The sequence below is a fragment of the Homo sapiens genome, chromosome 4 (assembly GCF_000001405.40).
Source record: "Homo sapiens chromosome 4, GRCh38.p14 Primary Assembly".
Taxonomy (NCBI): domain Eukaryota; kingdom Metazoa; phylum Chordata; class Mammalia; order Primates; family Hominidae; genus Homo; species Homo sapiens.
The window spans coordinates 175,035,568-175,056,486 of record NC_000004.12 but is presented as its reverse complement, the minus strand read 5'-3'; positions in this window follow the sequence as shown (position 1 = coordinate 175,056,486).

The window sequence follows — 20,919 nt, the reverse complement described above, 5'->3', positions numbered from 1 at the left end:
ATCCCTTCTCACTTGTAGGGTTTCTACTGAGAAATATGCTGTTAAACTGATAGCTTTTCCTTTATAGGTTATCTGATGCTTTTGCCTTCAGCCCTTAAGATTTCTTCCTTTGTCTTGACTTTAGATAACCTGATGACTATGTGCCTAGGTGATCTTTTTGTGATGAATTTCCCAGTTGTTCTTTGAGCTTCTTATATTTGGATGTCTAGATCTCTACCAAGGCCAGGGAAGTTTTCCTTCATTATTTCCTCAAATATGTTTTCCAAATTTTTATATCTCTCTTCTTTCTTGGGCACACCAACTATTCTTAGGTTTGGTCATTTAACATAATTGCAAATTTTTTGGAGACTTTGTACATTTTTTTTAATTCTCTTTTGTTCATTTTTTAAAAATGTAATTCTATTTGTTCTCTAATTTAATTATCTTTGTTTTAATTTAATTCTTTGTTCATTTTTTTAAAATTCTCTTTTGTCTTTTTTCAGATTGAATTAATTCAACACCCTTGTCTTTAAACTCTGACATTCTTTCTTCTGTTGTTTGATTCTACTGCTGAGAATTTCCAGTGCATTTTGCAATTCTCTAAGTGTGTCCTTCATTTCCAGAAGTTGTAGGTTTTTTTAATTTATGCAATCTATTTCACTGGAGATTTTTCTATCTATATCCTGTATTTTTTATTTATTTATTTATTTATTTATTTAAGTTGGACTTCACCTTTCTCTGGTGTCCCTTGATTAGCTTTACAGCTGTCATGAATTCTTTTCCTGGCAATTCGAGATTTTTGTCTTGGTTTGGATCCATTTTTGGTAAAATAGTGTGATCTTTTGGGGGTGTTAAAGAACCGTGTTTTGCCGTATTACCAGAATTGTTTTTCTGAGCCCTTCTCATTTGGGTAGATTATGTTGGAAGGACAATTTGGGACTCAAGGGCTGCTATTTAGATTCTTTTGTCCAACAGAGTGATCCCTTGATATGGTGTTTTCCCCTTTCCACTAGGGATGGGGCTTCCTGAGAGCCAAGCTGCAGTGATTGTTATTTCTCTTCTGGAACTAGCCGCCCAGCAGAACTACTGGGCTCCAGGCTGGTACTGGGGAGTATATGCAAAGAGTATGTGATGTGATCCATCTTTAGGTCTCTCAGCCCATGGATACCAGCACCTGCTCTGTGGAGGTAGCAGGGGGTGGACTCTGTGTGGGTCCTTGGCTGAATGTTTGTTAAGTGCACTGCTTTTGTGTTGACTGGCCTCTAGCCAGGAGGTGGCGCTTTCAAGAGCACCTCAGCTGCGGTTGTTTAGGGAGGATACAAATTTGCCCTAGGGTCACCTTTGGATAAGTATTAAGGTTTCTCAGGCGGTGGGCAGGGCCATAGAGCTCCCAAGGGATTATGTCCTTTGTCTTAGGAGTTCCCCTGCTGTTCTGCTGTCCCACAGAACCAGTAGCAGCAATCCACCTCCTTCAAAAGGGTCTGTGGACTCTCTTACTTTTTCTGGTATGTTCCTGTGGTAGTTCTTGGAGCAAAAGTTCATAATGTGGGTCTCCACACACTGCTCTGTCTGAGTGAGAGCTGCAAGTTATTTTTGCCTCCTACCCACCATTTTCCCCCCAATCCTGGCATAATTTTTTTTTTTTTTTCGCTCTGTCGCCCAGACTGGAGTGCAGTGGCGCGATCTTGGCTCACTGCTGCAAACTTCACCTCCTGGGTTCAATGCCTCAGCCTCTTGAGTAGCTGGGATTACACATGCGTGCCACCACAGCTAGCTAATTTTTGTATTATTTTAGTGGAGATGGCGTTTTAGTGTAATGGCCAGGCTGCTCTTAAACTCCTGACCTCACTAAGGTGATCCACCCGCCTCAGCCTTCCAAAGCGCTGGGATTACAGGCATGAGCCACCCGGCCCGGCCAACTTTCTAAAAGCAACTTTACAAAAATTCTTAAGATTTAAATTACAAATGCCAGAGAGACAGCATTTACTTGCTGGTTTACAATATTTGTTTGTATAGCTTATAGAACGAGACCTCTGTACAAATTCCTCACAAATAAGGCCATAAAATACTTAGGTCTACAAAATAAAAAGGAGTTCTTGAGCTCTCTTTTCAACAATTCCTAACAAATTCCCGTAAAATTTCATGATTAAAGTAATTATATTCAAATAACAATATCAATGTGTTGCCTTAAGAGATTATTCTGTTTTTTAAGAAACAATTTCCAAGGAATATATTTGACAAATCTTAAAGATAATTCTTTTGCTTAGAGTTATTCTTTAGGGTCTTACATAATTTAATTTTATTAAAGAGAAAACTAAAGAATAAGCTGAGTAACAAATATATTGTGGACTGTATGGTTTTTAGAGTTTATTAGACCTCCAGTAGAATAAGTTTTTTCCTTAAAACCAAATTACATTGTATGAGATTAGTTCAACAGCCTAGGGTAATTGAATCATTTTCTAAGTTCAAATAAATGTTTTATTCAATGCCAGATATAAAATGTTGTCATATTGTGTTTGCAAATTCCTTTTGTCATAGCAAAGGCAATTATAGAAGCTAAAACAAAAAAAAGCCCATATGTAGAGAGCTTGTCAAAGGTTGAAGCATCATTTCTATTGTGTAGAAGACACTGAGCTGGTGCTAGGGATGCATTTTTGGTTTATTTTGTATTCTTATTACCAAAATGCCTGGGACTCAGCCTACATCCTGCTGCTTACTGTTGTCTCTCTCAACCAACTAAAATTTGGGGTTTACACAGTGGAGGAGGAATGTAGCTCCATGTAAGGAAACTGGAATTTGGGAGGAGTAAGGAAGCAATTATGTTGGATGAGGGCTTTGGTATCCCATTGTTGGGGTGCAGTAGTTTGGTGAGTTTCGGTTTCTTGCCTGAGGGTCAATTTCCTAAGGAAGGAACTCAGATAAGACAAATATAAGTTAAAAACTGTAAACATCAGTTCTATGAAACAGTGGGGGTGGTTTCATTGCCTTTTATCCATATGGACAATGATGCCTGCCCGGAGATACACCAAATTTAGTATGGGAGTCTATTTCCACTTGAATTTTTTGTAATGTTACTTAAAGTCACAGTGGTAGACTGAAAATAATTTTAGTTCATCGGCTTCTTCTTGTCTTAAATAGACATGGAACCATTGTAAAATATGTGGCCTTGCTTTTTAAACTGAGGCTCAAGTTCAGTTGTTTCTCTTTATTTCTTGTATTATTTAATATAGCTTTCCAGTTATTGCTGTATATTTGATAGTATTCCTTACATTTGATTTTTACTTTTCATTTTCACCAATATTCTATGTGTTAGTCTATTTTAATTCTAAACCTTTTATTATATAAAAACATGATATATAAACTTTTATTATATAAATGTTCAAACATATACAACATATAAAATTATATAGTGCAATGAATTTCTGTGTACCCTTCAGTTACCTTTAGTAATTATCAATACATAAGTAATATTGTCTTACTCTTGCCTCTCACTCATGGTTATTTTAAACAAATTTTAGACATTATTTCATTTCATCTCTATTTTCTAGTAAGTTTCTCTAGAAGTAGAACATTTATGTACTTTTATTCATATAGTTAAATTGCCATCCCAGATACCAAGAATGTCTCATCATTCCTTGATTACCATTCATTTTTCTTTCCACATAGCAAGCTTCTTTCACCAGCATTATTTCACAGTATTCTCCCCTGAAGGAAGGTAATTCTTCTTAGAGACTCTTTCAGATAATGAATTTCATTCATTTTTGTGCCTTTACATTATCATCTCTCAAAGTAGGATAATTTTCCCTCTCATCCATCAATTTATGTGGGACTGATATTGAGTGTTGCCAAAATGTCTTTTCCAGGTAGCTTTCCTCTCTAAACAGTCTTATTCCAATTATTAGTACCTAATTTGCAAGCCAGAGCTTCAAAATGGAAACCCATGGGCCAAATTCAACCCTCATATATGGTCTAGGAAAGCAGTGCTTTCCCTCAGGTAACTTGATTCTGTACTGTTGACTTTTCTTGATATGTCTAAATTATTCATCGGGATTGACTTTCAGATTATCTAAATGGTCTTCCCTTAAGGAGAAACAATCACACAACAGAGGGCCTTTCTTTGCCTTTTGGTAACTAGCCTAAGGAAGATATTTTACATTTTATCATAATAATTCTTGTGTCATCATTATTAGGTCATGATTATTAGGTTTCTGATTGCTTAGGAAAACTGAGATTTCAAAGGTTTTTACATCCATGTGACTTTCTATATTGCTTTTAAAGTCCTTGTGCTGTTACATCACAGGGCTTTGACTCCCGGATCTGAAGAAAGCATTGACTCCTGCCAAGTCTTGAATGTTGACATTAGTCAACACCTCTTTTTCAGACCTTGGAGATAGCAGCAATCGAAATGAACTGCTTTGCTAAAACACAGGGTCAGAAATTAAAACTTCTCAATCCCTCTAGGCCCAAGGACTATTGCAGAAGAGGTGGTGCATGAGATTGTAAAGGCCTGTTTTGAGGGATAAGAATGGTTCAGAGTTTTTCTATAAATTAAACATTAATATCAAAGGCACAGTGATGCGAGACCAGTGTCTGGGTGCGCTGATCTTTTCTTTAATAGAAAATAGTAAAAGGTCATAAAAGGAAATCTTACATTATGGTCAAATATTAAAATTAGATTTACTTATAAGGTTTTATAGGCTTGAACATTAACAATATACTATGCAAAGGTAAATTCTGGTTTTACCTTTTGAACAAAATTTTCATGTAACATTAATAAGAGATATAAAGATTATTGTTTACCTTTTGAGTAAACTTCAGGGGCATAAAGGAGGGGAGGGAGAGAGATTTAGTTAGGCACATGCTGTCTTTATAAGGTCTTATTGTTTGGGAAACTGAGTCTCTATCAAAGAATAAAGGTTTTTGCTTTTAAAAAAATCTTGGAATTATCATTTTGGCTAAGTGAATGACTATTTTATAATGACCTATAATCCTATTTTGTGATAGTAAGTGTTTTAATCCTTTGATATTTGACAAACTTTCCAATATCAAAGTTTCAAGTTCTAAATTTAGTCTTTTGGATGTTAAAATAACTTTTTAGATATTACATCCCCTGAAGTCCAAGAGAGGCATAGTAAGCTTATATGGTATGTTAAAATTATAAAGGAAGCATTTTCAAACATGAAATGGTGTTTAACTTTCTTTGGGGTTATATTTATGTAAGTATGTTATGAACATGTGTTCCAAATTTGTATGAGATTCCTAAAATTCTGATATGTCTTAAGTATATGTTATCAGCAATACTTATGATTATTATTGTTGTATGCCAAAAAAATAAGTGAATTTCCTTATCAATTGTGTCTTTAATTATGGCTAACCTAAGGCTTGTCTTTAACCAGAACTGTCCTAAGACCTTTATCATTCAAAATTATTGTTTTACTTTGATGCTTGTCAAAAAAGTGGCTTACAGTTAGCTACAGTTCCAAACTTCTTTCTTTAGGGAAATTCATGAAAAAAACTGTTGAATGCAAGTGTTTGATAACTTTGCAATGGCACAAAGAGACTAGAGAGATAACTTTCTCTCTCTAGAAATGTGCCATTGGACTAGAGAAAGAACTTTCAGGACTCTAATTAAAAGACTGATGTGTTCAGAAAGATTGTTAACCCAATGTGAAGCAGGACAAGAGTTAATTGCATAGACTGAACTAATAAAGGACCAAACTAATTTTGTATGGCTTTTTTATAATGAAACATTGGTGTTTTGTTTTATTTTTGAGGGTTGATAAAAGATTTTTTCTTTATTTTTAGATATTTATAGCCTTTAACAATTGAATATATTCTTGTAAACCAATTTAATGCATATTTTTCTTTCTCTACCTGATTTCTCCAGATTTTGGAAATCATCTATGAATATTCTTAATTCATGGCAATATGTTTATTTGCATATGTTCAATAAGAATTTGTTTTCTTTTGTAATAGGACACATTTGGAAACACTGGTTATTTTCCCAAAGCTTTGACTGGAATGATATATTCTCAGATATGAGCAGAATGCCTTCAGAGATTGAGGTTGATTTATGGAGCCGATAAAAGTTCCTTGGAAAGACTGGTCTAGTATTTTGTCTAACTGGTCCCTTTATAAGTTTCCTGATCTGTGATGAGTAAAGAATGTCACTTTCTGACAGGACCAGGAACCTTAAGTTATTTTGGGACCTTGAGAAGAGAGGAATTCACCCAGTTCATACAGACACCTGCTGGCAGAGATAAATCCTTGCCTGGGCTTGAGAGGCCTTTAATAGTCAAATCTGAGATTCCTTATAAAAAGTCCAGCAAAGCCCCAATATAAAAGATCCTATATGGACAATAATTCTTGAGGCACATTATGCAAATAACCAGGCCAAGTATGATAGATGGAAACTTATATTGCAAATAAATTGGTTCTACCACAATTTGTCTTTGGTTGAAATTGTTGACTAAAGAGAGAAAAATTTATGTTTCAGAAGAAAACTATAGTATGCCCTCTATTAGATTAGCTTTTGATTCCTTGGTGGAAACCTGGTCACCTATTGTGTAGAGTTGCAGTTGTGCTGCGTTCAGTTATTTAAGATAAAAGCTACCATGGAATTTAGAGATAGATTCTACTCCCAGGGAATTAGTTCACAGGATGCATAAGGAAATGCAAACGAATAAAGAAAAAGCAAAACATGCAATCCCTTGGTTTGTTATCTATAATAGCTAAAATGAAAGTAAGAGAATGCTGAGTTGGGTGTTGGGGCTGGACCAACTCAGATGTGGAACTTTCTGAGCTCAAATAAGTAGCCTCAAGACTACCCACAAAAGGAAAAATTATGCCAGAGCACCAGAAAGTACCTCTGAGACCTGCCTTTTCCAGAAGGTAGGCAAAGTGGGGGAAGGAAGGGGAACATCACACACTGGGGCCTATTGTGGGGTGGTAGGAGGGGGGAGGGATAGCATTTGGAGATATACCTAATGTTAAATGACGAGTTACTGGGTGCAACACACCAACATGGCACATGTATACATATGTAACTAACCTGCACGTTGTGCACATGTACCCTAAAACTTAAAGTATAATAAAATAAATAAATAAATGGAAAAAAAACAGAGGGTACAATGTAAAGAAATTGTTTCATTTTGTAGATTGGTATCATCAGCTTTTCTAAAACAGATTATGAGATTAACGAACCTGGGAGCACTGACTTTGGTTTTAAATGGTGTAGAATGGAAATGCATGTTTTGGTTGATGCAGGACCTACAGCTCACTGTTGAACAATCACAGATGGGTATATGTAATTCAGACACACAGGAGGTTATTTCCGAGAGAACAGCCAGCCTGGTGGATTGGATAAATGCCACCGTAAGATCTGTTTACCCCGAGAGGGAGAATTGCCAAACTTCACATATCAATGCCAAGTGAAACACCCCAGATGAAGCAGCTGATATGCTTCATATCCAAGTCACGGGAGACTGGCTTTAAGATGAAATATATTTACTACTCATACTCAGTTAAAACCAAGCCCTTTTTGATCCCTCCAGGGGAAACAGGTCATGGGCTTATGAACCCTCAGAGGGCCAAAGTTAGTATTCAAAGCCCAGCCAAAGAGCCTGGATAAGAAATCATAAAGGGACCATGTGCTTTTCAGGTTGTTGCTCTTCCTGAAACCATAGCTTTATGCATGCAGGATGTAATGCATCAGGAAAAGTTTTTGGTAGCATTAGAGTTACACTCTGGGATTCCCCAGGGGATCAGCTCCATATTCTCTGGTATTTTAAAATTTGGTTTTATTTTAAAATTTGGTTTATCTATGTTACTAAGCATCCTAGGCAATGTGGCTTACTATGTTGTTCTAAACCAAGATAAAACTATCTAGGTCATGGTGCTCCAACAAGCCAGATGCTGGTCAGGTGCTCATGAGTGCTTTCAATTACAGGAGTAAGGTTTGCATTCCTCAGCATTATCCCATAATAGCTCTCCTCAGCAAGAAGCAGCCAGAAAGATTGACAACCAGATTCCCCATGATGGAGGAATTGATAAATAGAAAGGGGATACTGATACCAGCCAAATTGTCCCATACAAAAAATATCTATAGGTTTTTAAAAATAGACATAGAAATTGACCCTCCCTTGTCTTAAAACTTGCAACTTACATTTATCTCATCTGAGTTCCCTCCTCAGGAAACCAACCCTCAGGTGAGGGACTGAAACTCACTAGATTACCACATCCGGATCAGACAAAAAGATGCAATAAACTTCATTCCTCATGATTGCTTCCTTACCTCTCCCTAATTCCTGTTTTCCTGCCTTCCCTGCTATATAAACACCCCATTTTTGCTATGTTAGAGAAACAGATTTAGAGACTGTATTACCTGTTATTCTTGGGTGCAGCACCCAAAGTAAAGCCTGGTTCCCTCATGTATTAGTCTGCTCTCACACTGCTGATAAAGACATACCCGAGACTAATTTCCAAAGAAAAAGAGGTTTAACGGGCTCACGGTTCCACATGACTGGGGAGGCCTCAGAATCATGGCGGAAGGTGAAAGGCACCTCTTAAACGGCAGCAGACAAGAGAGAATGAGAACCAAGCCAAAAGGGTTTCCCCTTATAAAACCATCAGGTCTTGTGAGACTTCTTCAGTACCACTAGAACAGTATAGGGGAAACTGCCACCATGACTCAGTTATGTCCCACCGGGTCCCTTCCACAATACATGGCAATTATGGGAGATACAATTCAAGATGACATTTGGGTGTGAACACAACCAAATCATATCACCTGGCAATCCTTGTTAACTCAGTGATTGGCTTTCTGTGCAGTGAGCAACAGGACGTAGACCTGTGATGTTTCAGTAACAATCTTATTTAATAATTAAAATAATATTTTAGTTTTATAGCTGAAGACACTGAGGCTTAGGGTGATGAAAACATGCAGATAGCATGACTATTAAGAATGTGATATTTTTATAGCATGATATATAAACCACTAAAATTTATAGGGGAACTTCAGTGTCATAATTCAGGCCTGACTCTTATCATTATACCATGCTACCTGCCGAACAAATCTTTGTAGAAAGTAGAATGCTTCTACGGGAAGGAAGCAAATGAAACAGAAAAAGAAAAAAGAGAGAGAGAAAATGTTCAAATGTGGGCATGATTGAGTATTAAAATACAATGAATGTTCATCATTTTCCAAGCATAGAACTTAGAGATTTCCCTTCCATACTTGACTGATTGTCAGGCTCAGATACCCTGTCTTTTAGTCTTAATGCAACATACAATACATTTAAACCAACAATATGAAAGAAGCCATAAAGATATATATTATATATTCTAAATATTGGGCATATGGGAAATTATTTCCTTGAAAAAATAAACATTTATGTTATTTTGAAAAATAATCAAAGAGATGTTTTTGTGGCAATGGTTACTTCCTACTCTTTTTACATTGGATCATTTATTGTTTGTAGAAAGATGTTTTGATTCAACATCTCACTTGCAGCAGTGAAAAAACTCAGACACTGAGAGGGAAAAGTCCTGTGACGTGTTCAAAAATATTTCTGTTTACTAATTCAGCTCATAAATCTATTCTCTGATACATACAAAAATAATATATTTAACTCTAGACAATATTATTTGTTTAGTTTTATGTGTTTATGTCTTAACGTAGCGATGTGTAGCCAAAGATATGGACATTCCCAAAACATCCACTGCTCTGGAAACATGCACTCTTTCAACTTCATTTTTAAAGTTTTACTTAAAATTTGTCTTGTATTTATATAATCTTCCCCTTTGGTTGTGGCAGATTTATCTGAAAACAGAGTAACCTATGTCAAGCTTTGAACGTGGGGGTCTGAGAAAACACTAGGGCCAATCACATGAGTTCTAAAAGAGTATGCTTTGTATCATGTGGAGAAGTGCATAAAAATGATTTGCCACAATAATGAAAAGTGAGGGCAACTTGGCAGCAGGTGGAGGGAAGAAAAAAAATAATAGAAGCAATAAAAGGAGAAAGATCAACTTAATATTTATTTTCTGTTTATAGATTTTCTTGAGGCTATTTTGTGAAATACACCAATATATTTCTAATAAATTAACCTTTTACCTTATGATATTTTTACCTGTTATAAAGATATTATTTTATTATTTATACAGCTTAAAATATTTGCTTTTTATATTTTAGCCTAAAGCAATTGAATTTAGAATTTACATATAAAATTGATGAGATGTTACTACAGTAATGTGAAGATCTGTACTAATTAGCATAAACTTAATACAGGACCCTTCCTGGCATACATTCCATGGAGACTGCTTATCACATATGCTTTACAGCTAATCTCTTAAAGATTTTTGGAGAATGTATAAACCACCAGAATTATTTTCTTTGGTATCTGTCAAATATATGTTAGAATCATAAAATTACTCAGAACCTTGAAAATGATATTTCCCTGGGAGACCAATTGTTAATTAATCCTGTTTTTGTTTTAGTGGATCAATATTTTAAGTTGATAACAGGGTCTCTGTTTCTGCTTTGTATTTTTTTTTTTTTTGGTTTATCAAAAATAGCTCCTCTAAAGGGGACAAAAATGGACATCATTTTCTGTTTTAAAAATACTGAAAATTTTCTTCAAATTGTAATACTTTAATACTCCAAGAGAGAACTAATAAATCAAATGAGAACTCATTGTCAATGGGCATGTAAGAACAATTCCTAATTTGTAGGCAGTTAGAAGAACAGTCTGTACAAAAAAATTAAGATAGGCTGAATGTATTCTATTGGCATTCATTTGCTGACATCTACTTTAGGTAAAGATTTAATTTAGATCATTTATTAGTGATATTTGCATAATAACACTTTCTAGGTAAGGCAAAATATCTAAATCATATTATTTTGACCTTGTTTCTCATGTATAGACATTACGTTATGGTCATTAATTAATGGATTAGAGGATGTATAAATGATTTTGGATAATGTCAACATACAAGTTTATTTTTGCTCCTATAAAATTATAAAGTGGATATCCAATGTATGCTCATGGAATACCATAGCATGTAGTTTGGGGTTACTTGTCTTTTAGTTTTCTCTGTCAATTTTTAAGGAAACAGAAGTTGGATACTTTGGTTACTGGTTGTAATTCAAATATCTGGTTATACATTGTTGATACTATACTTGTACTATTGTTAGACATGAAAATATGTAAACTGGGTCGTAGTATATTCACCTGCTTTTTGAGACACTATGCACCTTTTAATGTTTTTGCTGCCATTGCAGTATTTTAAATCATTTTAATAGAAGTTACTTATTGCTACAGGGACTTACTTTTGTTGCTTTCTACTGTGTTAGCTTTAAGTAATCTCTCTCTAAAATAAAAAGTAGCAATTTCCTTGATTTTAATCAATTACAATATCCAGTATCTTAATCAATGTTCTCAAATCTTTTGCCTTTTTCAATTCAGCCTCCAAATCTGGAATTATAAAAAAAAAAAAAAAAAAAAAAAGCTGTTGCAATGTCTTCTACATGTTAACCCTCTGGGGTTTCCCAGATAGATACTGACAACCAAAGAAGTTGGTTCACTGATTGTATTAGTTGGTTCTCGAACTCCTATAAAGAGATAACTGAGACTGAGTAATTTATAAAGAAACGAATTTGTATTGGCTCACGGTTCCACAAACTGTAAAGGAAGCATGTCTGGGGAGGCCTCAGGAAACTTACAATCATGGTGTAAGGTGCAGGGGAAGCAGAAACATCTTCACATGGCCAGAGCAGGAGTAAGATAGAGAGGGGTTGATGCCACACACTTTTAAACAAACAAATCTTGTGAGCACTCACTGACTATCATGAGAGTAGCATGAGATTTGGGCATGGACACAAATCCAAACCACATCATTCTTCCCTGTGTCCCTCCCAAATCTCATGTTCTCACATTTCAAAATACAATCATGCCTTCCTCACGGTCCCCAAAACTCTTAACTAATTCCAGCATTAACTCAAAAGGCCAAAGTTTAGTCTTATCTGAGACAAGGCTAGTCCCTTCTGCCTATGAGACTGTAAAATCAAAAACAAGTTAGTTGATCCCAAGATACAATGGGAGTACAGGAATTGGTTAGATACTCCCGTTCCAAAAGGGAGAAATCAGCCAAACTAAAGGGGCTAGAAGCCCCATGCAAATCCAAAACCCAGCAGAACAGTTATTAAATCTCAAACTCCAAAATAATCTTTTTTGACTCCATGTCTCACATCCAGGCCACACTGATGCAAAGGGTTGTCTCCCAAAGCCTTGGCCAGACCTACCCCTGTGGCTCTATAGGGCTAGTCCCCACAGCTGCTCTCATGGGCTAACATTGAATGCTTGCCACTTTTCTAGGTGCACGGTGCAAACTGTTGGTGTATCATTCTGGGGTCTGGAAGGTGGTGGCCCTCTTCTCACAGCTCCACTAGACAATGCACCAGTGGGGACTCTGTGTGGGGGCTCTTAACCCACATATTGTCTCTGCAGTGCCCTAGTAGAGGTTCTCCATGAGGGCTCTGCCTCTGCAGGAGTCTTCTACCTGGACATCCAGGATTTTCCGTACATCTTCTGAAATCTAGGCAGAGGGTCCCAAGCCTCAACAATTGCACTCTGCATAGCCACATGGAAGCTACCAAGGCTTATGACTTGCACCTTCTGAAGCAGGAGTTTGAGTACCTGGACCCCTTTAAGGGACAGCTGGAGAGCTGGAACAGCCAAGATCCAAGAAGCAGTGTCCTGAGGCTGCACAGGGCAGGGGGGGCCCTGGGTCTGGCCCATGAAACCATTGTTCCCTCCTATGTCTCCAGGCCTAGGATGGGAGGGGCCACCACAAAGTTCTCTGATATATACTCAGGACCTTTTCCCCATTGTCTTGGATATTACTACTTGCTTTCCTTTTAATTTTGAAAAATTCTGCAGCTGGCTTGAATTCCTCCCCTGAAAATTGTTTTTTTTTTCTACCACATGGCCAGGCTGCAAATTTTCCTAACATCTACGCTCTCCTTCTTTTGTAAATTTAAGTTTCAGTTTTGCATCATTTCTTTGCACATGAATATGAACATAGAAGGCTAGAAGCATCCAGGCTATATCTTGAACACTTTGCTACTTAGAAATTTCTTCCACCAGATACCCTAAATCACCATTCTCAAGTTCAAAGTCCCACAGATCCTTAGGGCAGGGGCACAATGCTCCCTCAATTTGCTAGTGCATAACAAAAGTGACCTTCACTCCAGTTCCCAGTAAGTTCTTCATCTCCATCTGAGACCTCGTCAACGTGGCCTTTGCTGTCTATATCACTATCAGCGTTTTGGTCACAATCATTCAACAAATCTCTAGGAAGTTCTAAACTTTCTATCATCTTCCTGTCTTCTTCTGAGTCCTCCAAACTCTTCCAACCTCTGCACATTACCCAGTTTCAAAGTCACTTCCACATTTTCAGCTATCTTCATAGCAATACCTGACTCCTAGTACCAGGTTTCTATAGTAGTTTTTTCTCACACTGCTATAAAGGAATAACTGAGACTGGGTAATTTATAATGAAAAGATGTTTCATTGGCTTATAATTCTGCAGGCTGTACAGGAAACATGGCTGGGCAGGCCTAAGGAAACTTACAATCATGGCAGAAGACAAAGGGGAAGAAGGCACATCTTCACATGGCCAGAGCAGGCACTGCGGGGAGGAGATGGGTTCAGGTAGCACACAGTTTTAAACAACCAAATCTGGATTCCTCACTCATTATCATGAGAACAGCACCAAGAAGGAAATCCAGCCCCATGATCCAATTACCTCCCATCAGGCCCCACCTCCAACATTATGGATTACAATTTGAGATGATATTTGGGCAGAGACACAAATCCAAACCATATCACTTACTTTATAATGTGAGGGTTACTAAAATATTTAGATGTGTTTTGTATTCTCTAAATTTTATGTAGTTCAGCCACTCTACAAGCTGACTAAAATAAATGTCTTTTGAAGTCCAGTTAGTGAATGGGGTGTTTCCATTCTTAAACAGATATTGTAGTAAGAACTGAATTGAGATATTTGAACTTTGCTAAACCCTGTTAAACCTTTTATTATCTTAGTGTTTATAAAACAAGATTATATATCAGTAGTACTCTTTCAAATTTAGAAAGTCATCTAAAGTCAATTGTTTACCTTAATTTTTCTTTTACCAAAGCTAAAGATTATGTAACTTGTCATGTACTACACTCATCAGGCCAATAATACCCAGTACTTTTAGGCTGGCTACATTACTACCCATGATTATTTTATTGTCTGCTTTCTGCCTCAATGCTTATTTGTTGTCCCCTTTTTAATGCTGTACTCTTAATTAATAACTCCTGAAACAATTGTGATATTGGAATGTTTTGTCAGACAAAAATACAAAAATATATTTCTTATGAATATAGAACAGGTATTAATTTTCTGTTTGGTCAATCAGAATAGAGTAAATGGACTCATAAGATTTCACACAAACTTGGTCTCTTTAGCAGCCAGATACTTAATTCCCCTAAGATGCTATCAATAATAAAAAAAATTGCTTGTTGCCATGGATTTCTGCTCTCATTTTTTTTTCTTTTCTCTGCCTTGCCTTTTATAAGAGTTAAAGCCAGTACAGCTGAGAAACAAGTGAGTTATTTTTCGTTCTTTGACGAGTGCTTCATGAACTCCTTCCTTTCTTTGGCCCAAGGCCAACTAGACTATCGTGGAGATTTTGTAAAACAGTATTTGTTTTACAAGTCATGTTAAAATATATATAACATAAAATGTGCCATTTTAACCATTTTTAAGTGTGAAGTTCAGTGACATTAAGTATATTTACATCGTACAACCATTGCCACTATTTGTCCTCAGAACTCTTCTCATCATCACAAACTAAACCTCTGTACCTAATAAGCAATAACTCTCTATTTCCTCTTCCCCCAATCCAGGCAACTACCATTTTACTTTCTGTCTGTATGAATTGTACTACCCTAGGTAACTTAAATGAGTGCTATCATATAGTATTTGTCCTTTTATGACTGGCTTATCGCTTAGCATAATATCTTTAAGGTTCATCCATGTTGTAGCATATGTCAGAATTTCCTTCCTTTTTAAGGCTAAATTATATGCCACTGTATGTATGTACCACATTTTGTCTACTCATTCATGAATGGACATTTGGGTTGCTTCCAATTTTGGCAATTCTGGATAATGCTGCTACTAATGTGAGTGTACAAATATATGTCCACGTCTCCATTCTTAATTATTTTGCCTGTAAACTCAGAAGTGAACTGTTGGATAATATAGTGATTCTATTTTTAACTTTTGAGGAACAAAATAATATTTTCCATAACAGCTGCACCATTTTACCATCCCATCAGCAGTTCATGAAGTTTCCAATTTCTCCATATCCCCTTCAAAAATTAATATTTGATTCCTGGGATACTAGGCATCCTAATGAGGGTAAAGTTGTATCTCACTGTGGTTTTGATTTATATTTTCCAAATGATTAGCGATATTCAGCATCTTTTAATGAGTTTTTCAAGATACAGATGACCATGGGTATATTTTCTTTGAAAAAAATGTCTGTTTTATTTAGTCCTTTCCCCATTTTTGAATCGGGTTGTTTGTTTATTGTTGTTGTTGTTGCTGTTGTTGAGTTTTATACATTCTCTATATATTCTGGATATTAATCCATTATCAGAATATGTGATTTGCAAATATTTTCTCTCTGGGTTTTTTTTAACTGTATTGATAATATCCTTTGATGAACAAAAGTTTTTCATTCTAATGAATTCCTATTTGCTTATTTATTCTTTTGTTGCCTGTACCTTAAATGTCATATTCAAAAAATCAATGCAAATTCTAATGTTATGAAGCTTTTCTCCTGTGTTTTCTTCTGAGTGTTGTATAGTCCTAGCTCTTGCGTTTAGGTCTTTGATCCATGTTGTGTATTGTTAGGTAAAGGTCCAATTTGATTCGTTGCATGTGACTATGCCATTTTCCCAGCACCATTTACTGAGAAGACCACCCTTTCCGCTTGAATAATCTTGGTTCGCTTGTCTAAAATCATTTGAACATATCTGCTGTTAAATAGTTCTCCACACTAAATTCATTTATCTTATTTTCTCTTCCTAGTATGCATACATGTTAAGACTATCTTGAGTCATCTTAACTAAAAATAATGTTCTTAATCTTTAGGACATATACTCAGGTTTACATGCTTTACAGATTTAAAAAAATAGAATCTCTTAAATGGGCAAGCTGAAGAAGCCAGCCATCTGATGCTGAAATTTTTTTTGACAATGGTTTATATGGAGATTAATTTTTTGAGGGAAGAATAAATAAATGAACGATTAAACATATGTGGTTATAGTGTTTTCAGTGTTTTCCTCAAGGGAATTTTTTTAACTTTTATATCAAAAATATTCAACTAATGATAGTGAAAAAATGAAAAGCCTTATTTTTCCTTAACCTCTTGAGTTCAAACTATAATCTTACTCTATTTATAAATACGGAAAACTTTTACCAATAATTTTCATGGAGGATTTTATGAAATAACCAAAATCTATTAAAAATGCTTATGCTGAAAAATATAAAATATTCAGTTTTCTATTAAAAAATTTAACTATCTTATGATAAAACTTTCCTAAGTACTTAAGTAATTGGTAAATCAGATAATATCATTTGTAAAATCATTTTAAAAACTTTGATAGTAAATAGTGCAGTTCTATCTCAACTAAATAACTACACACTTGTGATTATAACCTCAAGTGTAATCAGAAAATAATTTAAAATGCCAATTACTTCAAATGTTACAATGTACTCAAAATGTCAAAAGTGCTAAATTATTTCTTAACAGAAATTATGGGATTGATTTGTTATAATATTTCAATCTAGAATTTCTTGGCAATAAATGTATTTACCCCTAAGAAATATATTATACTATCTAAAAATTTGGATGTTTCCCTGCCCAAATGATTTCTTTGGTTTTGTTTTCTTAATCAGATGGCTGAAAAATCTAGCAATTGGAGCACAGACAGGTCTAGAATCAAGACCAACTTTTTGTCCACAAAACTTATGAAAACCATTTAGTTTTATATATAGCTCTGATAATAAGAACTTTATAACTTGAAGGAATTGGAACCATAATCCTAATTTAAAGGTATGAGGAAGTAACACCTTTAGAAATGTATCCTCTACCACGTCTGCAAACAACATTAAATTTGTGGTTGATACTTTAATGCTTTGTTTCATTTTTGTTTTTGCATTTCTTAAGATATTTAAATGACAGATAATTAGATTCTATTTTTCTCCACTGGACTTTTCTGAATCTGCTTGCATAATTTTCAGGGACATTTGATGTCTATGGTATTTGTGATAAATTCTAAGGGCAAAAAACACAAGTGGATTCAGATTGACAGCAAGTGATATCTTAATAAAGTAGTTAGAAACAGATAATGTAATGCCTTGTAAGGCAGCCAGATGGTTATCTAGAAGAGAGTACAGGGCAGAAGGAATGTCAAATGCAAGGGCCCCTGGACAAGAATGAAATTACATTGGTAATTACTAGAGTGATTTTAAATGATCAATACTGTTTCCTGCAATCTCTAGTTCCCTTGGCCTCTGCAAATTCACAACTTCATCTCCTCCAAGTCAAGGAGATTGTCAAGCTCCAGTTGGACTCTTCTTATATGGGCTGTTGGTGAGCTATTCCCTCAGGCAGTATGTGGGGGCAATTGCAGGGCTCCCCTCACATTTCTCCTTTCTCTTTCTCAGGTGCCCTTTCCTGCATTGCCTGTTATGCTGTCAAACCTCCCATTTGGGCAGGCCTGAGGAGAGACAGCTCACTCAGTATCAGCTTGGGCAGCTTGAAGACCAGACTGAGGTCATCTGAAGGCTCTCTATTAAATTTTTTTAATAGAGATAAAAATGTGAGTATCCCAGAAGGAAGCTTTTATGACAGCATAGAAAGTCACATAGCATCAATTCTGTTTTAGTCACAGACCCTCATAGACCCAAGATCCTTCAAAGAAAGAATGAGTGTTACATAAAAGATGATAATATTGGATGGGGTTGCAGTTTGCTTAGTCCCTAGCTTAGTTAGGTCCAAGTTCTTGTCAAACAACCAATAAGAATAAGGGACATGGACACCAGAGAATGAGTAGAATAGGATTTATTAAGCAAATTGAAAGCTCTTAGCAAAAAGAGGGGGCCTGAAAGCAAGTTGCCAGAAATGGGGCTGAGTTCTGTGTTTTTGATATGGCAGAAGTCAGGATGTTTTCTGTGGGTTTGTGACTTCATGTTTGTTATTACCCATGAATACCTAAGCAAAACCGAGGGAGGGCTAACACAACAATACTAATGCCATGTTAATGACATTATAATGAGCTGGGTTAAGTTAAGTACATTTAGGTTGATTTATTGTGCCTGTGCCTAAGTTGGAACAGTCCCTTTGGGCAACATCCTGGCACAAGGGGAAATTCTTAACCACGTTTCTTCCCATTAGCTGCAGAGGCAGTGTAGGTGCTGTGTTGAGGTTGTTCCTGTGAACATTGCCTTTCTCTGTCCTTCTCCCGAGACCCTCCCTCTTTGTCTGCCTATCCAGCCCCTAACCACCTCCTCCCTCAATGGAATGTGTTAATACCACCACCATAATTGTAAAATAAAATATTCCAGTGAAATAGAAGGTAGTTTCTCTTTTCTCTCTCTCTCATTGCTATTATAGTTAATTCTTTGTTGATGAGGTAACAGTTACACTAAACATTTGGATAAATTAAGATTCACATATAATCAGTGTCTTTAAAAATCACTGGAATATTGAAATACAAAAATGTGTTTAATTTGAGGGATTGGTTAAATGCATTGTAGGGGAGAAGTGCTCCAAACCGGAAAGGTTTAAAAACATTTATATTTTCATTTAACAAACATGTACTTATTCTTACAGACTGTACAAGACCCTAAGGAGGTCTTTATATTACTGAAGAGCTACACATGCCTATTTTTAAAAAAATAATATTTTCTTTCAAAATATCCTTTCTGAATTTGAAGTGAGTGGTTTCAATTTAATGTGGCTTTATTTGTTTGTGTACTGGTATGTTCACTGCAATTTCAAATCCTTCAAGAGGTGCTTCTCAGAATCCCTAACAATGGTAATTAAAATAACCAAAGTTCATTTGACTTTTCTTTCTTTAACTTCTTTTCCTCTTATTCACCTGTACATATAGCAGTGATTGGCCATAAGTTGATTTTGTAGAAAAAAAAAAAACCTGAATAGGAAAAATTCTTCTAAAATAATTTTAAAAACTCCTCTAATTTGTGCTGGTTTCCATCTCGATAGGATTGCTTGCTGTGTCAAAGAGAAGGGAACATGCTAGGCAATGCACTACCACATTAAAACTTTTGTTTACATTTTATTAGCTAAACCTTTCAACTGTCATTTAAAAGTCTCATTGGGCAGGGTGTGGTGGCTCAAACATATAATCCCAGAACTTTGGGAGGCCAAGGCAGGCAGATCACTTAAGGCTGGGAGTTCAAGACCAGCCTGGCCAACATGGAGAAACCCATCTCTACTAAAAAATACACACACAAAAAATTAGCCAGGCTTGGTGGCATGTGCCTGCAATCCCAGCTGCTTGGGAGGCTGAGGTATGAGAATCACTTGGACCAGGGAGGTGGAGTTTGCAGTGAGCCAAAGATCATGCCACTGTACTCCAGCCTGGGTGACAGAGTGAGACTCCATCTCAAAATAAGAAATAAAAAAAATGAAAGTCTCATTGGCCAGTCTGATTTGAAGGAAGAACCCAGAGATACAAGTCCTAGATACATTGATTAATGATACTAATTACTACCAGAGGATATCTCTTAAATGATTCAATTGTGCTACAGTTGAGCTTGGTTACAATCTAAAGAAGACAGTACTGGCCAAAGTAGATATAAGCCTGAGATTTTAAATTCATAGTTATTTTCCATTCAAATGACACACTGTTACAGGTTGGGTTCCGGGGGAAGCAGACTCTGAGATCATAGTTGGAATTTAGTGTGCAGGATGTTGATTAAAAGATGTTCTATTGCTGGGCATGGTGTTGTGCAGCTGAAACCCCAGCTCTGGGGAGGCTGAGGTCGCTTGCGTTCGGGAGTTCAAGACTGCAGTGAACTGATTGTGCCACTGCACTCCAGCCATAGTGAGTGTGAGACCCCATCTCTTAAAAAGAACAGAATTGCTCTTGGGCTCAACACCTGAAGATGAAAAAAAAGGAATCATGCCTTAGAAGCAAATCAAGCAACAGCAGTGGCTCAATGACTAATAGAGAAAACCCTCTGCTGACCACACCACAGTACATAAAACTATCTGCTGACCACAGTGCAAGAAGTAAGAAACTAGGGCAAGACCTTCCCTGATGCTATTATACACCTCTTTCTCGTGTTTTGCCTTTGACTAAGAAGGAAACGTAAAACAGTATGACTGTTTTCAGAGGAATCTACATATTTTGTGTGCTTGCATATAAATGTGCATAGCTTAGACCATTCTATAACAAAGTGTGATGATTTGAAGTAAATAGATATGTATCTTAGACTTATAATTTGTAAAGGAATTTAGAAGCAATTAGAATCTTCATTTTTAATAGGTAGAATAGTAAAGATCTTCAGATCACGTCTTTTTTCTCATCTTTGCATAAAATAATATATTCAAGTCAATCTAATTTAATAATATGTATTCTGTGAATACGTGTAATCTACTGATTGTGTCAGAGGTAGTAGCTCTTCTGGCAGGTCAGTTCACTCAGCTCTATGGGACTTATTCCTTACAGCCAGTCTAGAACCAACAAGCTATCCCCTTGCAACAACTGAGACAGTAAAGATGGGGCTCTGCTTCAGCTCACCCCACTGGAGCATTCTTTCATGCATTTCCAGTGATGACAAAACCCACACCAT